This window comes from Homo sapiens, chromosome 11 (assembly GCF_000001405.40).
Source record: "Homo sapiens chromosome 11, GRCh38.p14 Primary Assembly".
NCBI lineage: Eukaryota > Metazoa > Chordata > Mammalia > Primates > Hominidae > Homo > Homo sapiens.
The window spans coordinates 64,726,364-64,746,368 of record NC_000011.10 but is presented as its reverse complement, the minus strand read 5'-3'; the positions used below and the strand labels follow the sequence as shown (position 1 = coordinate 64,746,368).

The window sequence follows — 20,005 nt, the reverse complement described above, 5'->3', positions numbered from 1 at the left end:
TTTTTAGCTCTTGGCGGGCTCAACAGCAGCCGCGCAGTCACCCCCTTATCCTCCACCCTCGGCAGGTGCGTCCCACGGCGGGACGGTGATGGGAGGTGGAGGGGGCGACCCGTGGGGGCGGGGCCTAGGCCTCTCCAGCCCCTTTCCTGGCGTCACCCTCCACGCCTCTCTTCCCAGTGCCGTGTCCATACTAGGTCAGCGGCCAGCCTCGCTGGCCGGGGGCGGGGCGTCTGCCTGGGTGGGGCCCACCGGGGCTGGGAGCCGGGACTTGGGCTGAGGCTTCCCGGACCACGGAGGATCCGCGCTGTCGAGGGCAGGACCCAGGAGGGGGAGGAAGCAGAGGATGCTCGGCGCCTTCTTGGCTCCGCCCTTAGCCCCGCCCTACTGCGGCGTTTAAGGGTCTCTTAGCAGGTGGCTACACTGGATCCAAAGTCGGGGGAGTGTTACGGCAGGGAACACTCGCAGACCGCCTAGTCTAGGCCCTCATTATGGGGAAACTGAGGAACAGAAAGGTCCTGTTTCTAAGTCTTACATTACCAAGACTGAGGTGCGGGGGCGGTCCTGGATCCCCCGCCCCAAGGCTGGGAGGGGCACGCCTCGGAAGGGAGGTTTGGGGTCGGTGGTTTCACAGTGAGTGTGTCTGAAGCCAAATGGTCGGAAACCGTTACCCGCTCTCCTAGGCCCGGCTAGTGGGGACCCCAACCGCCTGCGGCTGCCCCTCCCAAGTTCCTCCCTGTTGGCCAGGCATCCAGGTCTCCAGTCTCCGAGCTGCGGAGAACCCACCGCCACATGCGGCTGCCCCTTTCCATTCGACCCTGTGGGGAGCCAGGCTTCCGGGGCCCCGTTCCTCCTGTGTGAACTGGGCCCCCCGCCCCCATTCCCAGACATCAAGGCCGCGTCTCCAGATAGCCACGATTTCATTCCTCGCTCCCCACAGGTCCCTCTCCCCAAAATATTCCCATCTTGTCCTAGCCCATCCCCCAGACTATCTCAAGGACCAGCTGTCCCCACGCCCCCGACCTCCACTAGGCCTGTGCCACCCGCTGCCTGCAGGAAGACGCCCGGTCCCGGGCCGGGTTAGCCCCATGGGAACGGTTTGTCTCGAAAACAGGAACCCGAGCTGGGGGCTGGGCGGGGCGCCCCTTCCCCACCGCAGTCCGCTTCCTGCCCCTCCCGGCTTCCTCCGCCCGACACCCAGGCAGGGCGGGGGGCACTGGGGCGTCCGCGGTTGGGGGAGGGGCTCTTCGTTTCGGTCCCCCCTCCGCGTCCCGGGCGGCGGGGCCTCCGGTCGCCCGCCCTCGGGGCAGCTAGTGGCGCAGCCCCCCGCCCGCGGCCCTGGCCTCCCGGGCGGCGCGGCAGGGGAGGGGTTAAGCTGCCGCAGGGACCGCCGCGTGCGGGGCGAGAGGGAGCCCCCGGTGGGGGTGGCGCAGCCGGCGGTGCGGAGCTCCGCGCAGGGGCGGAGGGGGGAGGGGGCAGCCTGGCGCGGGGGCGGGGGCGGGGCGGCGGGGAGCGGGGCCGCGGCGTGGAGAGCGGGCGGGAGCCGCAGCCGCAGCGAGGCCGGCGGGCGGGAGCGCACGGAGGTGGGGTCGGCCAGGCCGGTGCGGGCTCCTTGCGGCAGGTCCCAAGAGTGAGTGGGCGAGCGCGGGCGGGGCGCCAGGCGAAGGAGGGCGCGGCCCCCAGCGACTCCCCCCCCGCCCAGGGCGGCGCGGGCGGGCTGGGGGCGGCGAGCGGGTGGGGAGTCTGCGGCCCGGGTCTGGGAGAGGGGGCAGCGGCCACGAGAGCTAAGGCGCGCTGGATCCCCGGAGGGCGGAGGACCTCCACGGTGCACCCAGCTTTTCCCAGCCACCTTCCAGCGGGGCCCTCCCCCGCGTACCCCCATTTGGCAGATGAGAAAATTGAGGCTCCCAGAGGCCAAGTGATTCTCAAGGTCACACGAGGAAGCGGTAGAGCCAGGCGGGGACGGCTCTGGGTGGCTCTTAGGAAAAGTCCGCCTGAGAACTCCGTACAGGAGCTCCCCTGTCCTCCAGCCTGGGGGAGTGAGTATGTGTAGGGCCGGGGTACCTTTCCGTGGGGCAAGGCTCTGCCAAAATCTGGGAGTGAGGGGAGTCAGGGAGCTGGGGCCGCAGGGCGGGCCCTGCACCGCAAATGGGAGGGGGGCGACGGAATGGGCGTGCGCACCCATGGGGGTGTGTGCATGTGTGTGGGAGTGTACATGCGTGGAGAGGCACTGCCTTGCGTGTGTGCACACGTGTGAGGATGTCAGCGCCTGTGTGGCCGCGGGACTCAAGGCTGGCCTGGCTCAAGTGAACAGCACGTCCAGGAGGCGACCTCGTCCGCGGGTTTGCATTCTGGGGTGGACGAGCTGGGTATGTGTGCCTGAGGGTTTCTTCGTGCAGGTGTGCACAGGGTGTGGGTGCCATTGTGTGTGAGAGACGGAGGATGGGAGGCCGGTGCCTGTGGCCCGGTGCGTGTAAGTGCGGACGCCTGCACCTCCACTTAGGTCCCCGGCCTCCGACGAATAACTTGGGTGTGGAGTGTTTGCCCCTGCCAGGGTGCGTATGACCCCGCCAGTGACCGGAGTTGCTAATGGTGTCATGCACCCACCGGCCACCCTTGGCGCGAGCGCCCCCCTCTGGACACCCTGCTCCGTGCGCGCTCACAGTTCGCCTGTGCGGGGCCGGGGCCAGGGTCAGGAGCCGGGGATAGGGAGGAAGAGGGCCTGTGGACAAGCTGAGCCGGGACCCCTGGGACCTTTGCGGAGGTGGCCTGGGAGCGCTCAGTTCCCAGGCTCAGGCTTCCCGCTGACGCCTCCTGGCCGCAGCGGGCTCCCCCCGCCCCAGGAATGTTCCTCTCCCATCCAGTCCGCCTCCCCTAGGGCAGGCCCCCTGGGGGCTGCCGCAGCCCCGCCTCGCCTTCCTGGGCTCCCGGGAGGGGGCGAGGCGGGCAGGACGCCTGGGTTCTCTCCCCCCACCTCCCATACCAGGGAGAAATTCCTCCGAGGTCCCCTCAGGCTCTGGGTTCCCAAAATAACCCTGCGGGGGAAGGGAGGCTGTGGAGGGAGGGAAGCGGGAGGGGCGCAGAGCCGAGCTGCGGGGTGCTGCAGGTGCCTCTGGGGAGAGGGCGCGAGGAGAAGGCGCCCTGCGGGGGGCTGGGCGCCAGCCAGTCCTGGGATCTTGGTTCGTCCCCATCCTCGTGAAGCCCCTCGGCCTTCCCGCGACTCCGAGGGTGGGCCGGAAGCCTCTCTGCGGGTCCGTTTCCCAACTGGCGGGTTGCACCATCCCGGGCCAGACCGTTTAACCCCGGGAGTGGCCGCGGGGGACAACTCCGCCCCTGTCCAGCAGGGGGCGTGCCCGCCCCGCCCCGTTTCTGCCCGCGGGGCCGCTCCCCCGCCCGCGACTCCGCAGACTCCCGCTCTGCCTCTCCCGGGACAGGGGTTCGGTCCGAGCCCGGTGGGAGGCTCCCGGAGCGCAGCCTGGGCCCAGCCCACCCCGCGCCGGCGGCCATGGCAGGCACCCTGGACCTGGACAAGGGCTGCACGGTGGAGGAGCTGCTCCGCGGGTGCATCGAAGCCTTCGGTGAGTGGCTCGGGAGGGCACACGGAGCCTGAGCCTAGCCCCGAGTCTGAGCCCGGGTCCCTGCCTCCCAGGCACAGTCCAGGGCACAGCCCTGACCCGGACCCACCCTGCTCCGCAGCGTGCAGTCTCTTTAACGAAAGCCTCCTCCGCAACGCAGGGCAGAGAGATGCACGCCCTTCAGACAGATGAGGTTTCCCTTCTCTAGCCTTCCCCAGCGGCGGCGAAGGGAGGGCCGGGTCCCGGACTCTGACACTTGAGGGGCATTATCTGTCTCCCGGGGAATCCGGAGGAACTCGCTATCTCCGGCCTGGGAGCTGTTTCCGGCTAATGGGGGGCGGCTTATCTGGTGAAGGGGTGCCCCTTCCCCCCAAGCGCTCAGGAAATGACCTCTGGATTCTTGACCCCGGGGAACCCAGGCTCCTTCCGCCCCAGCTGGTTCCCCTCCGGACGATGGGCGGCTCGGGCGCTCCCCTCCTCCAGTCCTCAGGGCGTGCCTATCTCTCGCCCACCACACCTTTCCTCTCTAATTTGCCTCCTGCTCTCGGAGTCCTGGGCAAGCAGGAGGTGGGCGGGGTCGAGCGTGCACCCGAAGGACCGATACCTGGCGGGTTGCGGGGTGAGGATGAGGCATGGTAGCTGCGGACCCAGCTCAGCCACCTGTCTTTGACCCTTCGGAGTCAGATGACTCCGGGAAGGTGCGGGACCCGCAGCTGGTGCGCATGTTCCTCATGATGCACCCCTGGTACATCCCCTCCTCTCAGCTGGCGGCCAAGCTGCTCCACATATATCCTTCGCCGGCCTTGCCAAGGCCCCCGCCGTCGGAGCCCATGCGCAGCCCCTCTGCCCAGCCCAGGTGCAGAATGAGCCTCGCTCCTAAGTATAGGCCACTCCTTATCCCAGAGCTCAGGCGTCGTCCCAGCCTCCAACTAGGGCCTAGGCTCTGCCCCCTCCTTGCTCCTAGCGACTCGGTCCTGTCCCCAGGCTCTGTCCCCAGCCGAGGCCTTGCCCTCCTTCTCCCTAGAGTCTGGGGCCTGCCCCTGCTTCAGGCTTGGGTGCGCCCCGTGCATCTCTCTCTCCCAGAGCCCAGGCTTTGCTTTCAGCCTCCCTCAGCACCTAGTCCTCCACCCCCACCTCCAACCCCTCCCAGAGCTCAAGCCTCACCCCCAGCATCTCCGCAGAGCGCAAGCCCCATCCCTAGAACGTGTCTCCTAGAACCAGGCCCCGCCCCCAGCCTCCCTCCACGCAGGCCTCCCTTTCTAGAGTTAAGCGGCCTCCTTAACCCTCTCCTTCACCTACCAACAATCCCGGAAGGACAACTCCAATTCCCTGCAGGTGAAAACGTGCCACCTGGTCAGGTGAGTCTTTCCCCTGGGGCTCTAGCCCCTCCCCTTTCTCCCTTCTCTCTGGCTTCAGGCTGGCCTGGAGGAGGGGGCAGGGCGCTGTTTCTGGGAGTGGGTTTGAACCCTGGCTTGTCCGGGTGGGCAGTGCTGCCACAGGCTCACCCCTTCCTGGGTCTGGGCCTTAATTTTCTTTTCTGCGCAGTGCGGGTGGTTGTCTCAAGGGTCTAATGTACACTTGGAGTGGCGAAGGAAAGAGCTGGAACCATAGTTTGAGGGTCTTTTTGCTTAGGTGACTATAATCTCAAATAGCTCCTTGCAGCCTGCTGGGTGATGGTGGGGGAAGGGCTATCTTGGGTGACTCCCCGCTCCTCCAGGTACTGGATCTCCGCCTTCCCAGCGGAGTTTGACTTGAACCCGGAGTTGGCTGAGCAGATCAAGGAGCTGAAGGCTCTGCTAGACCAAGAAGGGAACCGACGGCACAGCAGCCTAATCGACATAGACAGCGTGTGCGTGGGGGGAGCACAGAGGGCTGGGGGGGCACTCAGTATCCTATACCATCTGTGCTTAATAAATGTCTGTTGAACTGAATGAGTGAGGGTCATGTTGCTCTCTCGCTTAAAAACCTTCCATGGCTCCCTATTGCCTTCAACATGCCTCCTCTGGGCAGCTTGGCGTTCCTGCCTCATCTTCCACTGCCACCACCCATCCCACACACCTCCTCCTGTAGCTGCGCTGGGTCGGCTCCCCGTCGGCTGAGCTCTCGAGTCCTTTCTCATCATGGTGCTCTGCTCATATCATCCCCCTTGCTGCCTCCTCCGTGTTACCAAGACTCAGTTCAGGCATGAAGTCTCCGTGGGCTCTGAGGGTTCGGGGCTCTTCCGGGGTAGAATTTGTCGTTCCCACCTCTGTTTTCCATGGCACTTTGTACAGACTCCTGTACAAAGACCTCTGTACATGTGTCACGCTGTTTTGTGATCATGTGTTTCTGTGTCTGTCTCCCTCAGTAGACTGTGAGCTCCTCGAGGGCAGGAACCGTGTCTTACTCATCTCTGTATTCCCAGCGCCTAGCACAGTGCCTGGCACAGAGTACGTTGTTCATAAATGTGTGTTGAGTGCATGACGGGGTCGGGGGAGATGAGGAGGAGTTGCTGGGACTGGGAACATTCGTGCCTAGGACAGTGCCTCGCATTATGTAGGTTCTCAGTAAGCGTGAATGGTGTGTCTGTGTGAGTGGGGGGCCACGAGTCATGCGCATGTCCAGCAAAGGGCTCACTACCCCTGCCCCCCCAGCCCTACCTACAAGTGGAAGCGGCAGGTGACTCAGCGGAACCCTGTGGGACAGAAAAAGCGCAAGATGTCCCTGTTGTTTGACCACCTGGAGCCCATGGAGCTGGCGGAGCATCTCACCTACTTGGAGTATCGCTCCTTCTGCAAGATCCTGGTGCGGCCCGAGGGCTGGGGGGTCAGGGGTCCAATGTGGGCTGGAAGAGAGTTCTAGGAGGGGCAGGGTCCCTGGCGTAGGCTGGGTCACAGGGTGCATCAGGGGTTTCAGTGTAACCACTGAAGGTCAGCTGGAGGGTGAGGAGTGGCTATCAGTGAGGGGAGAGGCCAGCAAGGTGCTGAGGCCACTCCTCATGCCCCCAGTTTCAGGACTATCACAGTTTCGTGACTCATGGCTGCACTGTGGACAACCCCGTCCTGGAGCGGTTCATCTCCCTCTTCAACAGCGTCTCACAGTGGGTGCAGCTCATGATCCTCAGCAAACCCACAGCCCCGCAGCGGGCCCTGGTCATCACACACTTTGTCCACGTGGCGGAGGTGCCTGCCCCTCCCTCCCGGTGTCTCCCAACCACCCCACATGCCAGTCAGGCCAACCCTTCCCTTCCCCTAACCCACTGCCTTCTCTCTAGATAAGCTGGGCCAAATTCTGGGCCCACTCAGTGACTCCCTGCCTCTCCGTCCCCATTTGCCTTCCAGAAGCTGCTACAGCTGCAGAACTTCAACACGCTGATGGCAGTGGTCGGGGGCCTGAGCCACAGCTCCATCTCCCGCCTCAAGGAGACCCACAGCCACGTTAGCCCTGAGACCATCAAGGTGCCTGGGACTGGGGAGGGGCCGGTGCTTCCCAGGTCTGTCTTCACTGGGTCCTCCCAGCAGCACTGGGGGCTGGGCACAGCTGTCCTCATTTGATAGATATGGAAATGGAGGCTCAGAGGGGTTAAGTGCTTTTCTCAGTTTGCACAATGGCAACAGCAGAGTGGGGGCTCACAGGTCGTCAGGGACCCCAAAGCTAGTACTTTTTTTTTTTTTTTTAAGACAGGGTCTCTCTCTCTGTTGTCCAGACTGGAGTTCAGTGGTGCAGTCACAAGCTCACTGCAGCCTTGAACTCCTGAGCTCAATCGATCCTCCCACCTCAGCCTCCTGAGTAGCTGGGACTACAGGTGTACGCCACCATGCCTAATTTTTGTATTGTTATTAATTTTTTTTTTTTTTTTTAGAGATGGGGTTTTGCCATGTTGCCCAGACTGGTCTTGAACTCCTGGGCTCAAGTGATCCGCCTGCCTTGGCCTCCCAAAGTGCTGAGATTATGGCTTGAGCCATTGTGCCTTGCCACTTGTAGTTTCTTCTTTTCTTTCTCCTTCATTTTTTATTATTTTTGAAGTATTTTGAAGTATTGAGTAACATACATATAGAAAAGTATATAAAAACATATGAGACTGGGCGTAGTAGCTCACACCTGTAATCCCAGCACTTTGGGAGGCTGAGGTGGGCAGATCACGTGACATCAGGAGTTTGAGACCAGCCTGGCCAACAAGGTGGAAACCCATCTCTACTAAAATACAAAAATTAGCCAGGCATGGTGGCACGCACCTGGAATCCAAGCTACTTGGGAGGCTGAGGCAGGAGGAGAATTACTTGAACTCAGGAGGCGGAGGTTGCAGTGAGCCAAGATTGTGCCACTTCACTCCAGCCTGGGCGACAGAGTGAGACTCCATCTAAAAAAAAAGAAAAGTATATAAAAACATATGAATAGTTTAAAGAAAAATTGTAAAGAAAACACTGTGTAACTACTGCCCGGGTTGGGAAATAGAACCTTGCCAGGCCCCCAAGCGCCCAGCACTTTAGAGCATAACTCCCTCCCCACGACTTTTGCAATGATGATCTTGCTTTTCTTTATAGCTTCACCATGTAGGTATGCGGTCCAAAACAATGTGGGGCTTTTTGTTGTCTGTTTTGAACTTTCTATGAATGGAATGTTGTTTGTGTTATTTTATGTCTTGCTTTTTTCATTCCACATGGTTCTGAGAGTCTTTTCATTCTGTCATGTGGAGCAATTGTTTTTTCATTTTCATTGCCATATAATATTTTATTGTACGTCTACCCCAATTCATTTATTTATTTATTTTTTTGAGATGGAGTCTGTCTCTGTCATCCAGGCTGGAGTGCGGTGGCGAGATCTCATCACTGCAACTTCCGTCTCCTGGGTTTACGTGATTCTCGTGCCTCAGCCTCCTGAGTAGCTGGGATTATGGGCTCGTACCACCACGTCTGGCTAATTTTTTGTAGAGACAGGCTTTCACCATGTTGCCGAGGCTGGTCTTGAACTCCTGAGCTCAGGCAATCCACCCGCTTTAGCCTCCCAAAGTGCTGGGATTACAGGTGTGAGCCACTGCCCCCAGCCTACCCCAATTTATGTATTGATTCTATTGTTGAATGTTGGGGTTTTTCCTTTTCTTTTCTTTCTTTCTTTTTCTTTCTTTTTTTTTTTTTTTTTGAGATGGAGTCTTGCTCTGTCGCCAGGCTGGAGTGCAGTGACGCTAATTTGGCTCACTGCATCACTGCACCCTCTGCCTCCCGGGTTCAAGCGATTCTCCTGCCTCAGCCTCCTGAGTAGCTGGGACTACAGGCATGCACCACCACACCCGGCTAATTTTTGTATTTTTTTAGTAGAGATGAGGTTTCCACCATGTTGGCCAAGATGGTCTCCATCTCTTGACCTCATGATCCATCTGCCATGGCCTCCCAAAGTGCTGAGATTACAAGTGTGAGCCACCACGCCCAGCTGGTTTTTCCAGTTTTTGCTGTTTGGACGGGGTGGCTGAGTATGTTCTTCCAGGTCATTGTCCTGTGCTGCCTTGCCTCCCTGAGCCTCTGTTTCTCCTGTTAAATGTTGATGATTCCCTGCATCCAGGCCTGGTTTAGAGGTGTGGTGCTTTTGGCAGTGAGTATTGCCTTGAATTCATGGCAATGAATTCAATCCCCAGGGGCTGAGAGAGCCAGTCGTGGGGGACAGTAAGGGAGGTTTTTACTCTTTCACCTGTCCCTGACCCTGACTCCTCCTCACCCCCTCCTACATTTCCAGGGCTGAGGTAGGGAGGATAGTTGTGGGGGTATGACTCCTCTGTCCTTTGTCCCCAGCTCTGGGAGGGTCTCACGGAACTAGTGACGGCGACAGGCAACTATGGCAACTACCGGCGTCGGCTGGCAGCCTGTGTGGGCTTCCGCTTCCCGATCCTGGGTGTGCACCTCAAGGACCTGGTGGCCCTGCAGCTGGCACTGCCTGACTGGCTGGACCCAGCCCGGACCCGGCTCAACGGGGCCAAGATGAAGCAGCTCTTTAGCATCCTGGAGGAGCTGGCCATGGTGACCAGCCTGCGGCCACCAGTACAGGCCAACCCCGACCTGCTGAGCCTGCTCACGGTGAGGAGCAGGGGGCAGGGAGGTGGGGAGCTGGGCACCAGGGGTTGACAGTTTCCCCAGGTCCTGGCTGTGGGCGTGGCCTGGGGCTCTGGGTTCTGGCCAAGAAACTGAGATCTAGCGTGGGCTCTGGGGTTTGGAGTGGATGCTGAGAAGGGGTCCAGGCTCTGGTTGGGGCTGTGGACTGAGGTCTGATCTCCAGGCTGGTATGTGGACTGTGGGCAGTTTGAACTGGGCCTGGGTCCCGGGTTGAGTTCTGGCAATGGGCTGTGTTCTAGGGCTGGGCCAAGCTCTGCATTCTGTGGGCAGGGGTGGTTTCTAAGCATGGCCCTGGGCTCGGAGTGAAGTTCTGGGCTTGGCTTTACACTTGGTCTTGGGGTCTAGGGTGGGAGTTGGGTTCTGGTTTAGATCCAGACAAGGTTCTAGACATTGGGCTGGGGCTTAAGTGTTAAGGTTTGGAGTGGATTCTTAGCTGCTTCTGGGCTCTGGAGGGGATCAGGGTTGAAATCAGAGCTTCTGGCTGGGTTCCGACCTGGCTTCTTCCCTGACATCTTGGCAATATGTTGTGTTCAAGGTTTGGGGCCATGCTGTGGTTTGATCTGTGCGCTGGGATGACATGGGGGTTGCTGTGCTGTGTTCTAAGCCAGGCTTTGTCCTGAGTCTAGCTTCTGACCCGAGCTCTGAGCTGAGCTGTGGCCTCTAGGTCGACCTTTGGCCCTGGGCTCTGTGGCTGTGGGCAGGGGCCAGTGGGGGTGATCAGATCTGTGTGTCCCAGGTGTCTCTGGATCAGTATCAGACGGAGGATGAGCTGTACCAGCTGTCCCTGCAGCGGGAGCCGCGCTCCAAGTCCTCGGTGAGGGGGTACTCCCTCCTCTCCACTCTGCCCTTCCCTCCTGAGAATCCCAGGATGTGAGGATGGGAAGAGCTCTTAGCAGCCACCTCACCCATCCATCTTGTAGGACAGAGGCATCCTGGGGGTAGGGCAGTAGTGTTGGGCAGACTTCCCTCTCCCAGGGATTCCCCTCTCTGTTCCCCGGGGCTCTGGGCTTCCCCTGCCTCTGGCCCTAGCTCAGGCCCGACCATTTCCATAGCCAACCAGCCCCACGAGTTGCACCCCACCACCCCGGCCCCCGGTACTGGAGGAGTGGACCTCGGCTGCCAAACCCAAGCTGGATCAGGCCCTCGTGGTGGAGCACATCGAGAAGATGGTGGAGGTGAGCTCCTGCGGAGCCTGAGCAGTGTGTGGGGAGAGGCCAGTTTGCCGGAGCACTGCCCTGGAAGCCAGCACGAGTGTCCTGTTCAAGACCCAGCACTCAGCCCCTAGGAGTCACAGGGCCTGGCAGGCCAGCTGCACGGGGCTGAAGTGCCCCTGGGTAGGGTGGGGGTGGAGGTATGGAACGGGGGTGGTGTCAGAGACCTCTCTGAGACACACCTCATCAAATGGACTGGGAACGTGGGAAGGGACAGGACCTGATGTCCCCTTTACTCTCCCCTCTTCTGGCTCTGCGTGTCCCTCTGCGTGCCCCAGTCTGTGTTCCGGAACTTTGACGTCGATGGGGATGGCCACATCTCACAGGAAGAATTCCAGATCATCCGTGGGAACTTCCCTTACCTCAGCGCCTTTGGGGACCTCGACCAGAACCAGTGAGGAGGGCTGGGGACCTGGGGGAGAGGGAAGGCAACTCAGCCCACTTCTGCCTGGGCTTCAGTTTCTTGTGTGCAAGATGAGGTCACTGAGCCAGATGATCTTGGCCTGGGAAGCTGCCAGTGTGGGAAAGGGCACTTGCTTTTGTGGGGAGGAGAGGCTGCCAGCTGTGGAGGCGCAGTGGTATCTCACAAATTCAGACAGATGGGGGGCTCCACCTGAGTCTTGCAAAGACTGTGACCTGGGGACTGTGGCTACAAAAGTGCTGTTTTATTTGTGGAGCTCACAGCTGTCAAGAAGTGTGGGCAACTTGAGCTCCTGGATAGTCTGTTCTAATGAATAGATAAGAAAGGTTTGTAATTAGCAGTACCCAGTTGTTTATCAACAGTTCATATGCTGACAATTTGGAAAAACAGCTGGTTCTCTGAAGTAGGTTAAACATGCCCCCTGAAGCCAGATTCATGCCCTATTTTTGCTGAGCAGAAAAAACTCCATTCAAAATTTAAAGTCCATCTCAGGTCGATTTATTTTTTAATGTTACCTGTATTTCAAAAATCTGTTGTTTTTTATTTCCACATTACAAAAATCCACGGTAAAATAAAATCTAGGTGGTAAAATAAATTTATAGTGAACAAAATGTTTAAAGTAAGAAGTGAGAGGCCAGGTGCGGTGCCTCACGCCTGTAATCCTAGCACTTTGGGAGACTGAGTTGGCAGGATCAATTCAGGCCAGGAGTTTGAGCCCAGCCTGGGCAACAGAGTAAGACCCTGTCTCTACAAAAATTATTATTATTATTTTTGAGACAGAGTCTCACTCTGTTGCCCAGGCTGGAGTGCAGTGGTACAATCTCGGCTCGCTGCAACCTCCACTTCCTGGGTTCAAGTGATTCTCCTGCTTCAGCTTCCTGAGTAGCTGGGATTACAGGCATGCATCACCGTGCCTGGCTAATTTTTGTATTTTTAGCAGAGATGGGGTTTTACCATGTTGGCCAGGCTGGTCTCAAACTCTTGACCTCAAGTGATCTACCTGCCTTGGCCCCCCAAAGTGCTAGGATTACAGGCATGAGCTACTGCTCCTAGCCTAAAAAAATTTTTTTTGGGCATGGGTGGCACGTGCCTGTAGTCCCAGCTACTCAGGAGGCTGAGGCAGGAGGAACCCTTGAGCCCAGGAGGTTGAGACTGCAGTGAGCTGTCATCACACCACTGCACTTCAGCCTGGGTGACTGCGCGAGATCACCCCCATCAAAAAAAAAAAAAAGAAAAAAAAAGGAAGAAATGAAAGTCCCCTCTTTCCTTTTCCACTGGTAGAAGTTGCCATGATTAAGCACTGTTAACAATATTAAGCTTGGCAGTATGTGGATTCTTCCAGTCTTCTTTTCCCAGGCAGGTGCACATTGATAGAGATTTTGTTTGTTTGGTGTCTGTTTCATGGACAAACAGGATTAGAGCATAAATCTAGTTCTGCTTGTGGCTTTTATCATAGCTGCTTTATTTCTTCTCCCAGATTTTAGGCAGAGGTAGTTGAGTTCCATGTTTTCTCCCTGGGTTGGTGGGTGGATTTTTATCTAGACCACCTTTTCAGTGAGAATGACCCTTTGAGACGATGGAGGCCTCAGCTTCATGCAGCGGTCTCAGCCTTAACCCTCCACCTCCTGCAGGCCCCAGGCTGTGTGTGTGTGTGTGTGTGTGTGTGTGTGTGTGTGTGTGTGTGTGTGTTGGTGAGGGGGAAGCCCTGGTTGGGTATCAAAACCTAGCACCTGGTTCGGCAGGAGGGAGACCAGCACCGGCTCCCAGGACCAGGCCCAGCTCACCACTTCATTGTAAAGCTCCCTCTTTGTTTCTGGAACTTGGGTGTTTCCATTTCTTTCTTACAAAATTATCTATGCATTTACAGCAATTGTTGATATATCTTTAGGCAGCATCTAGGTACTTGTAGTGGGTTCTCTTTTTTCTTTTTTCTTTTTTTTAATCACCCTCTCTTTTTTTTGAGACAGAGTCTCACTCTGTCGCTCAGGCTGGAGTGCAATAGCGCGATCTTGGCTCACTGCAACCTCTGCCTCCCAGGTTCAAGTAATTCTCATGCCTCAGCCTCCCAAGTAGCTGAGATTACAGGCACTGGCCACCAGACCCGGCTAATTTTTTTTTCTTTTCCTTTTTTTTGAGACGGAGTTTTGCTCTTTGTTGCCCAGGCTGGAGTACAGTGGTGTGATCTCGGCTCACTGCAACCTCCGCCTCCCGGGTTCAAGTGATTCTCCTGTCTCAGCCTCCCGAGTAGCTGGGATTACAGGCGCGCGCCACCATGCCTGGCTAATTTTGTATTTTTTTTTTTTTGAGACAGAGTCTCACTCTGTCACCCAGACTGGAGTGCGGTGGCGCGATCTCGGCTCACTGCAAGCTCTGCTTCCCGGGTTCATGCCATTCTCCTGCCTCAGCCTCCGGAGTAGCTGGGACTACAAGCACCCACCACCGTGCCCGGCTAATTTTTTGTATTTTTAGTAGAGACGGGGTTTCACCGTGGTCTCGACCTCCAGACCTCGTGATCCACTAGCCTCAGCCTCCCAAAGTGCTGGGATTACAGGCGTGAGCCACCTCACCCAGCCTAATTTTGTATTTTTAGTAGAGATGGGGTTTCACCATGTTGCGCAGGCTGGTATTGAACTTCTGACCTCAGGTGATCCGCCCGCCTCGGCCTCCCGAAGTTCTGGGATTATAGGCGTGAGCCACCGCACCTGGCCTAATTTTTGTATTTTTAGTAGAGATGGAGTTTTACCTTGTTGGCCAGGCTGGTCTTGAACTCCTGACCTCACCTCAGGTGATCTGCCCACCTCGGCCTCCCAAAGTGCTGGGATTACAGGCATGAGCCACTGTGCACCCGGCCTAAAAATCACCATCTTGACAGAACTTCACGCCTTGCTTTTTGTTTTTTTTCATCTTTGTGCTTGTTTTCCACTTAACCCTTGATCACAGACATCTTTCCATGTGGATTCATGTAGAACTACCTCATTCGTTAGAACAGCTGCAGAGTATTCCACTGTGCGGTTAGTCCATCATTTCCCTAACCATCCTCCTGCTGATGGACAGTTAGACTGTTCCAGTTTTTCAGTATGATTCTATGCCAGGCTGCCATGAACGTCCTTTTACTGATCCACTCAGGCCAGTATTTCTGTAGGAGAAATTCCTAGAAGTGGGATAATTGGATCAAAAGATATGCACATTCTAAATTAGGAGAGAGACTGCCAAACTGACCTCAGACAAGGTTGTACCAGTTTGCACCCCCATCAGCAGCGTACAAGTGCCTGCTTCCCAACTTCCTCGCCAACAGTGGATGCTATAAAAAGCTTCACAATTTTGCCAGTCTCATTGGCAAATGGTATCTTGGTTAAATTTGCATTTCTTTAATACTAATGGGGGTAGGGTATCTTTTCATATGTTTATTGGCCATTTATTTCTTCTGTCAATTGCCTGTTCTGATTCCTTGTCCATTATTCTACTGGGTTTGTTGGTCTTTTTCTCATTGATTTTTAGAATCTCTGTTAATGGATATTAACCCTTTGCTGTTGAATGTGTTTGCAAATATTTTCTCCCTGTCTGTCATTTATGTTGTCTTTTTCCATATAAAATTTAAAAACTTTTGTGTGCTCAATATGTCAGTCTTTTCCTTTCTGGCTTCTTGGATTTGTGTTCTGTGTAGAAAGGCCCTCAGCCCCTCAAGATTATAAAATTATTATATCTTTTCTTTTTTTTTTTTTTTTCTGAGACAGGGTGTCTTGCCATGTCACCCAGGCTGGAGTGCAGTGGCATGATCTTGGCTCGCTGCAACCTCCACCTCCCAGGTTCAAGTGATTCTCGTGCCTTAGCCTCCCGAGTAGCTGGGATTATAGGTGCCTGCCACTATGCCTGGCTAATTTTTTGTATTTTTAGTAGAGACGGGGCTTTGCCATGTTGGCCAGGCTGGTCTCGAACTCCTGACCTCGTGATCCACCCGCCTTGGCCTCCCAAAGTGCTGGGACTACAGGCGTAAGCCACTGTGCTCGGCCCTATATTTTTTTCAGATAGCCAGTTATCCTAATGCTCCCTTGATTTGATGGACCACCTGGATCACACATTATGAGCCCCCTCATAAGCAGGTGGGAGTCTCAAGCGAGGGCCAGTCCCGATGGGAATAGCACTTGGTGGCTGAGGACCCTCCTATCTGTGCAGACACTGTTGTAAAACTTCACATGCATCATCTAATTTAATCCTCACCAAAATCCTATGAAATGTAGGAATGATCATTACACCCATTTATAGATAAGGAAACGGAGGGACAGGGAGATTACTCCGCTACAGGTCAAGAGGCAGGGAAGTAGAGCTGCGATTTGAACTGAGGTCTGTGTCTAGAACACGTGCTCATTCTTTCCCTAAAATGTATTCATAGGTGAAAAAGGGCTTCTGCGGAAAGCCCTGGGTTATGTGGGAAACCCTGGATTTACAGCTGTCTTTCCAGCAGGATGATGCAGGAGAGAGAGGGATGCGATTTCTCCCAATCTCTCCTGGTCCCAGAACTCATTAGAGAGTTCTCCCTGCTGAGGGCTCCCGACTGGTGTTGCACACAGTACACTTCGGGAGCCCGAGGCTGATGGTTCCATGGAAAGTACACAGTCATTTTAGTTTGCACACCAAGTGTGAAGTGGGCAGGACAGGCCACTGTTCTGAGAAGGAACCCAGGGAAAGGGACTGGCCCAAGACCACACACTGGTTAGCGGCACTTCCCACATCTGCCTGACCCCTAGTCCAGTGCCGCCTTTTCTTTACTCTGCAACAGGAGTCCAAAATCAGGAGTTCCATGAGGACACTGGGAACAGTGGGATGGGTTAGGCCAGCGGTGGATGGTTCTGGGGAGGGCCCGAGCTGAAGCGCCCCCGCAACTCCCCACAGGGATGGCTGCATCAGCAGGGAGGAGATGGTTTCCTATTTCCTGCGCTCCAGCTCTGTGTTGGGGGGGCGCATGGGCTTCGTACACAACTTCCAGGAGAGCAACTCCTTGCGCCCCGTCGCCTGCCGCCACTGCAAAGCCCTGGTGAGAGTCCCTTTCCCGGCTCACGGCCCAAGCCACGCCCCTCCAGCCCCGGCCCCGCCCTCCCTTCTGGCCCCGCCTCTGCCAGAGCCCTTCTCAAGCCAGGAAAACCTGGTAATTCTATTTGCCTCTCCTCCTGTGGTTCTGCCCGGGGCCCTGAGGCGGGCTCTAAAGCCCTAGTCTCACCCTCAAGAAGGAAGAAGTAGAGTCATCACCTCTAAATCCCTCCTCCCACCACGGCCCCTCCTCTATTGCAGATCCTGGGCATCTACAAGCAGGGCCTCAAATGCCGAGGTGAGATGGAATGACTGGAAGGGCTGCTGGGCAGTGTTTTTTTTTTTTGTTTGTTTGTTTGGGAGAGTTACTGTTTTGGTGGGGCAATTGCCAAGGAGTGAAGTACCTTAAAATCAGAGGCGCATGGCCGGGCATGGTGGCTCAAGCCTGTAATCCCAGCACTTTGGGAGGCCGAGGCGCGCAGATCACCTGAGGTCAGGAGTTCAAGACCAGCCTGACCAACATAGCGCAACCCCGCCTCTACTAAAAATACAAAAAGTAGCTGGGCGTGGTGGCACCCACCTGTAATCCCAGCTACTTGGGAGGCTGAGGCATGAGAATCGCTTGAACCTGGGAGGCGGGGTTTGCAGTGAGCCGAGATCACGCCACTGCACTCCAGCCTGGGCAACAGAGAGGGCTCTGTCTCAAAAAAAAAAACAACAAAAAAACCCCCAAAACCAAAACCCCACAAAATCAGAGGCTCAAGATGACTGATGTGAAGGGAGTGGCGTTTAAGAGGCCATTTATTTTGATGACGCAGCTGCCCAGGAACAGAGAACATGGGAGAAGGCATAGACTGACAATTAGGAGGAGGAGAACACTTTGGAAGGAGACTCTTATTTTGGTGGGGCAGCTGCTCAGGAACAAAGGTTCCTGGTAGGGGGGCACAAGCCTGCGGGATGGGATGGAGGGTATTCTGACCAATGTCCCTGGCTGGCTCTCCATTTGCTCTCCCCCAGCCTGTGGAGTGAACTGCCACAAGCAGTGCAAGGATCGCCTGTCAGTTGAGTGTCGGCGCAGGGCCCAGAGTGTGAGCCTGGAGGGGTCTGCACCCTCACCCTCACCCATGCACAGCCACCATCACCGCGCCTTCAGCTTCTCTCTGCCCCGCCCTGGCAGGCGAGGCTCCAGGCCTCCAGGTAAGAGGGAGTCATTCTGTACTGGCCTGTGGAGGGAAGGATGCAGGGCTACTGGGGCAAAGAACGCAGGATGGAAGCCATTCCAAAGTGCATAATTCTCTTTTTGTGGTGGGATAATAAAGAAGGGACAGGCCGGGCGCGGTGGCTCACGCCTGTAATCCCAGCACTTTGGGAGGCCGAGGCGGGCGGATCACGAGGTCAGGAGATCGAGACCATCCTGGCTAACACGGTGAAACCCCATCTTTACTAAAAATACAAAAAAAAAAAATTAGCCAGGCGTGGTGGCGGACGCCTGTAGTCCCAGCTACTTGGGAGGCTGAGGCAGGAGAATGGCATGAACCCGGGAGGCGGGGCTTGCAGTGAGCCGAGATCGCGCCACTGCACTCCAGCCTGGGCGATAGAGCAAGACTCCGTCTCAGAAAAAAAAAAAATAAAAAATAAAGAAGGGACAGGTAAGGGTGCCAGAAAGTGGCCAGGAAGCCCTGGACCTTCTGAGGCTGAGGAGAGAGACCCTAATTTATAAAGAGGTATAAAAGTGAAAGAGGCTTCAAGATTCCAGTTACAGTCTTATTTTGTTGGAGGGGTTAACAAAGGATTGGAGAAGGTGTTATATGAGCCATTGGCTTGCCTTTCCCTTTCTGGCTGCTCTGGAGGCTCTTCTGGGGAAAGTCCCTTGCCCTGATAATGTCCTGGCAGCTCTCTTGGGGTATTTGATGGTTTTAGGTCAGTTTGCTGAATGACAACTGGCCAAATGATTATTTTGCTGAGAACAGTCCGAACAACTATGTTAAACTGGGGTCTAAGGTAGTTGATCACAACTGTTTGGGTTGGCATAAGTCCTCAAAAAACAGAGGCAGGCACAGGGCATACATCCTCAAAAATAGAAAAGATAAATCCATTTGCATTGAGCCTTCCAGAAGTGCTGGGGTCTAAAATGTGAAATACACACAAAATTGACATTTAAGCAAACTGCGCTGACAAATCTGTGGCTGAAAAAGCTGTGGCAAAACAAAAACATAGAAAAAGAGCCTCAAAAATTGGGCTGAGGCCGGGCATGGTGGCTCACGCCTGTAATCCTAGCACTTTGGGAAGCCAAGGTGGGTGGATCACCCGAGGTCAGGAGTTGGAGACCAGACTGGCCAACGTGGCAAAACATCATCTCTACAATACAAAAATACAAAAATTAGCTGGGCGTGGTGGCAGGCGCCTGTAATCCCAGCTACTTGGGAGGCTGAGGCACGAGAATCGCTTGAACCTGGGAGGTGGAGGTTGCAGAGAGCCGAGATTGCGCCATTGCACTCCAGCCTGGGCGACAGAGAGAGACTCTGTCTCAAAAAAAAAAAAAAAAAAAAAAAATTGGGCTGTGAGGTCATGCAGGGAATTGATTTTTGGTGGGTGGGTCTGCTTCTGGGATGATGTGGATGCCTCCCGTGGAGAGGGGAAGGGTTGATGAAGTCCCAGGGACCTGGAAGTGTGTTCTGCAGCAATCCCCCTCCCAGCAGAGATCCGTGAGGAGGAGGTACAGACGGTGGAGGATGGGGTGTTTGACATCCACTTGTAATAGATGGTGAGTCCTCCCACAGCTGGCACCAGAGCTCCCCACTGAGGGCTGGGGGGGAGCTGGGGAGTATCAGGGAAATGGGTGCTTTATCCAAATGGCTCCAAGCCAGGTGGGCTACTACCTTGTTGTTAGGGGGGTGTCTTCCTCACAACCTGTTTTTCTCTTCCCAGCTGTGGTTGGATCAAGGACTCATTCCTGCCTTGGAGAAAATACTTCAACCAGAGCAGGGAGCCTGGGGGTGTCGGGGCAGGAGGCTGGGGATGGGGGTGGGATATGAGGGTGGCATGCAGCTGAGGGCAGGGCCAGGGCTGGTGTCCCTAAGGTTGTACAGACTCTTGTGAATATTTGTATTTTCCAGATGGAATAAAAAGGCCCGTGTAATTAACCTTCACCATCAGCGCCTAGAATCCCGGGGGGTAGGGGGATGGTATACTTTACAGGATGACAATCTTGGGAGCTAGAACTTTGTAGCCAGAGAAACTTGGGAGGTCTGGAATCTCATGTGTCTGGAGTCTTGGGGAAGAGAATCTTAGAAGCAGAAAACCTTGGAACATAAGAATCTTGGGGAGGGTCTAGGATCTTGAGGAGACCAGATCCTTGGACATCTAAAACTTGAAACTAGTAGGTCTGCACCCGAGAATTGCAGGGCCAGTCATGCATACCCAAAGCCTTCAGCCCATGGCCGAAATTCCCTTGCTGGACAGGGGGCCTTTCAGCCCCTGCTTGGACGCTTCCAGTAACAGGGCCCTCACTGCAGGAATCGTGGGAGGGAGAGGGGCAGCACAGAGTTGCTGGCTGTCGGGGAAGGGAGGGAGGGCCCTGGGCAGTCCGAGGGCCCTGCTGGGCTTGTGCCTCAGGGTGGGGGCTGCACTCCTCCGCCTTGCAGCCTCCTGGCCTGGTGCTGCTGCCAGCCGGAAGGACAGTGACTTCCAGAGGAA

The 20,005-nt window shown here is 56.1% G+C and overlaps 1 protein-coding gene across 27 annotated transcripts, besides 7 other annotated features; it reads left to right on the top strand.

The window, feature by feature from the left end:
• Positions 1-390: a silencer, noted in NCBI's record as "silent region_3487". NCBI's record gives its function as "represses an Ori minimal core promoter by ATAC-STARR-seq in GM12878 lymphoblastoid cells {active_cell/tissue: GM12878}" and the evidence as "EXISTENCE:reporter gene assay evidence [ECO:0000049][PMID:35858748]".
• On the top strand, positions 913-19,458 carry RASGRP2 (RAS guanyl releasing protein 2). Of its 27 annotated transcripts, none has more exons than NM_001440705.1 (18): positions 1,543-1,627; positions 3,432-3,575; positions 4,257-4,359; positions 4,868-4,930; positions 5,118-5,204; positions 5,290-5,421; positions 6,206-6,356; positions 6,560-6,733; positions 6,896-7,009; positions 9,335-9,616; positions 10,389-10,466; positions 10,705-10,827; positions 11,142-11,257; positions 16,175-16,316; positions 16,571-16,607; positions 17,327-17,506; positions 19,009-19,073; positions 19,238-19,458. In NM_001440705.1, the coding sequence occupies exons 2-17, from the start codon at positions 3,503-3,505 to the stop codon at positions 19,065-19,067; spliced, it is 1,914 nt and encodes a 637-aa protein (NP_001427634.1). In that variant the 5' UTR covers positions 1,543-1,627; positions 3,432-3,502; the 3' UTR covers positions 19,068-19,073; positions 19,238-19,458. The 27 variants fall into 27 exon arrangements, with proteins under 27 accessions (XP_016872571.2, NP_722541.1, NP_001427619.1 ...); NM_001440703.1 differs by having other exon boundaries at positions 6,893-7,009; positions 19,006-19,073; NM_001440699.1 differs by lacking the exon at positions 5,118-5,204 and adding an exon at positions 1,887-2,036 and having other exon boundaries at positions 6,893-7,009.
• Positions 1,111-1,310: a silencer, noted in NCBI's record as "silent region_3486". NCBI's record gives its function as "represses an Ori minimal core promoter by ATAC-STARR-seq in GM12878 lymphoblastoid cells {active_cell/tissue: GM12878}" and the evidence as "EXISTENCE:reporter gene assay evidence [ECO:0000049][PMID:35858748]".
• Positions 1,561-1,670: a silencer, noted in NCBI's record as "silent region_3485". NCBI's record gives its function as "represses an Ori minimal core promoter by ATAC-STARR-seq in GM12878 lymphoblastoid cells {active_cell/tissue: GM12878}" and the evidence as "EXISTENCE:reporter gene assay evidence [ECO:0000049][PMID:35858748]".
• Positions 2,661-2,710: a silencer, noted in NCBI's record as "silent region_3484". NCBI's record gives its function as "represses an Ori minimal core promoter by ATAC-STARR-seq in GM12878 lymphoblastoid cells {active_cell/tissue: GM12878}" and the evidence as "EXISTENCE:reporter gene assay evidence [ECO:0000049][PMID:35858748]".
• Positions 2,871-2,920: a silencer, noted in NCBI's record as "silent region_3483". NCBI's record gives its function as "represses an Ori minimal core promoter by ATAC-STARR-seq in GM12878 lymphoblastoid cells {active_cell/tissue: GM12878}" and the evidence as "EXISTENCE:reporter gene assay evidence [ECO:0000049][PMID:35858748]".
• Positions 3,231-3,560: a silencer, noted in NCBI's record as "silent region_3482". NCBI's record gives its function as "represses an Ori minimal core promoter by ATAC-STARR-seq in GM12878 lymphoblastoid cells {active_cell/tissue: GM12878}" and the evidence as "EXISTENCE:reporter gene assay evidence [ECO:0000049][PMID:35858748]".
• Positions 6,733-7,282: an enhancer, noted in NCBI's record as "H3K4me1 hESC enhancer chr11:64506559-64507108 (GRCh37/hg19 assembly coordinates)". NCBI's record gives its function as "activates a minimal SCP1, AML or CMV promoter by ChIP-STARR-seq in primed H9 embryonic stem cells {active_cell/tissue: H9 hESC(primed)}" and the evidence as "EXISTENCE:reporter gene assay evidence [ECO:0000049][PMID:30033119]".

Bases quoted from the DNA above. Each gene is read 5' to 3' on its own strand.
- RASGRP2 (XM_011544718.3), top strand. From the start codon at position 2,043: ATGTGTAGGGCCGGGGTACCTTTCCGTGGGGCAAGGCTCTGCCAAAAT. The intron at 6,734-6,892 runs GTGCCTGCCCCT...TTTGCCTTCCAG, and splicing joins ACTTTGTCCACGTGGCGGAG to AAGCTGCTACAGCTGCAGAA. The intron at 17,507-19,005 runs GTAAGAGGGAGT...TCCCCCTCCCAG, and splicing joins GCGAGGCTCCAGGCCTCCAG to CAGAGATCCGTGAGGAGGAG.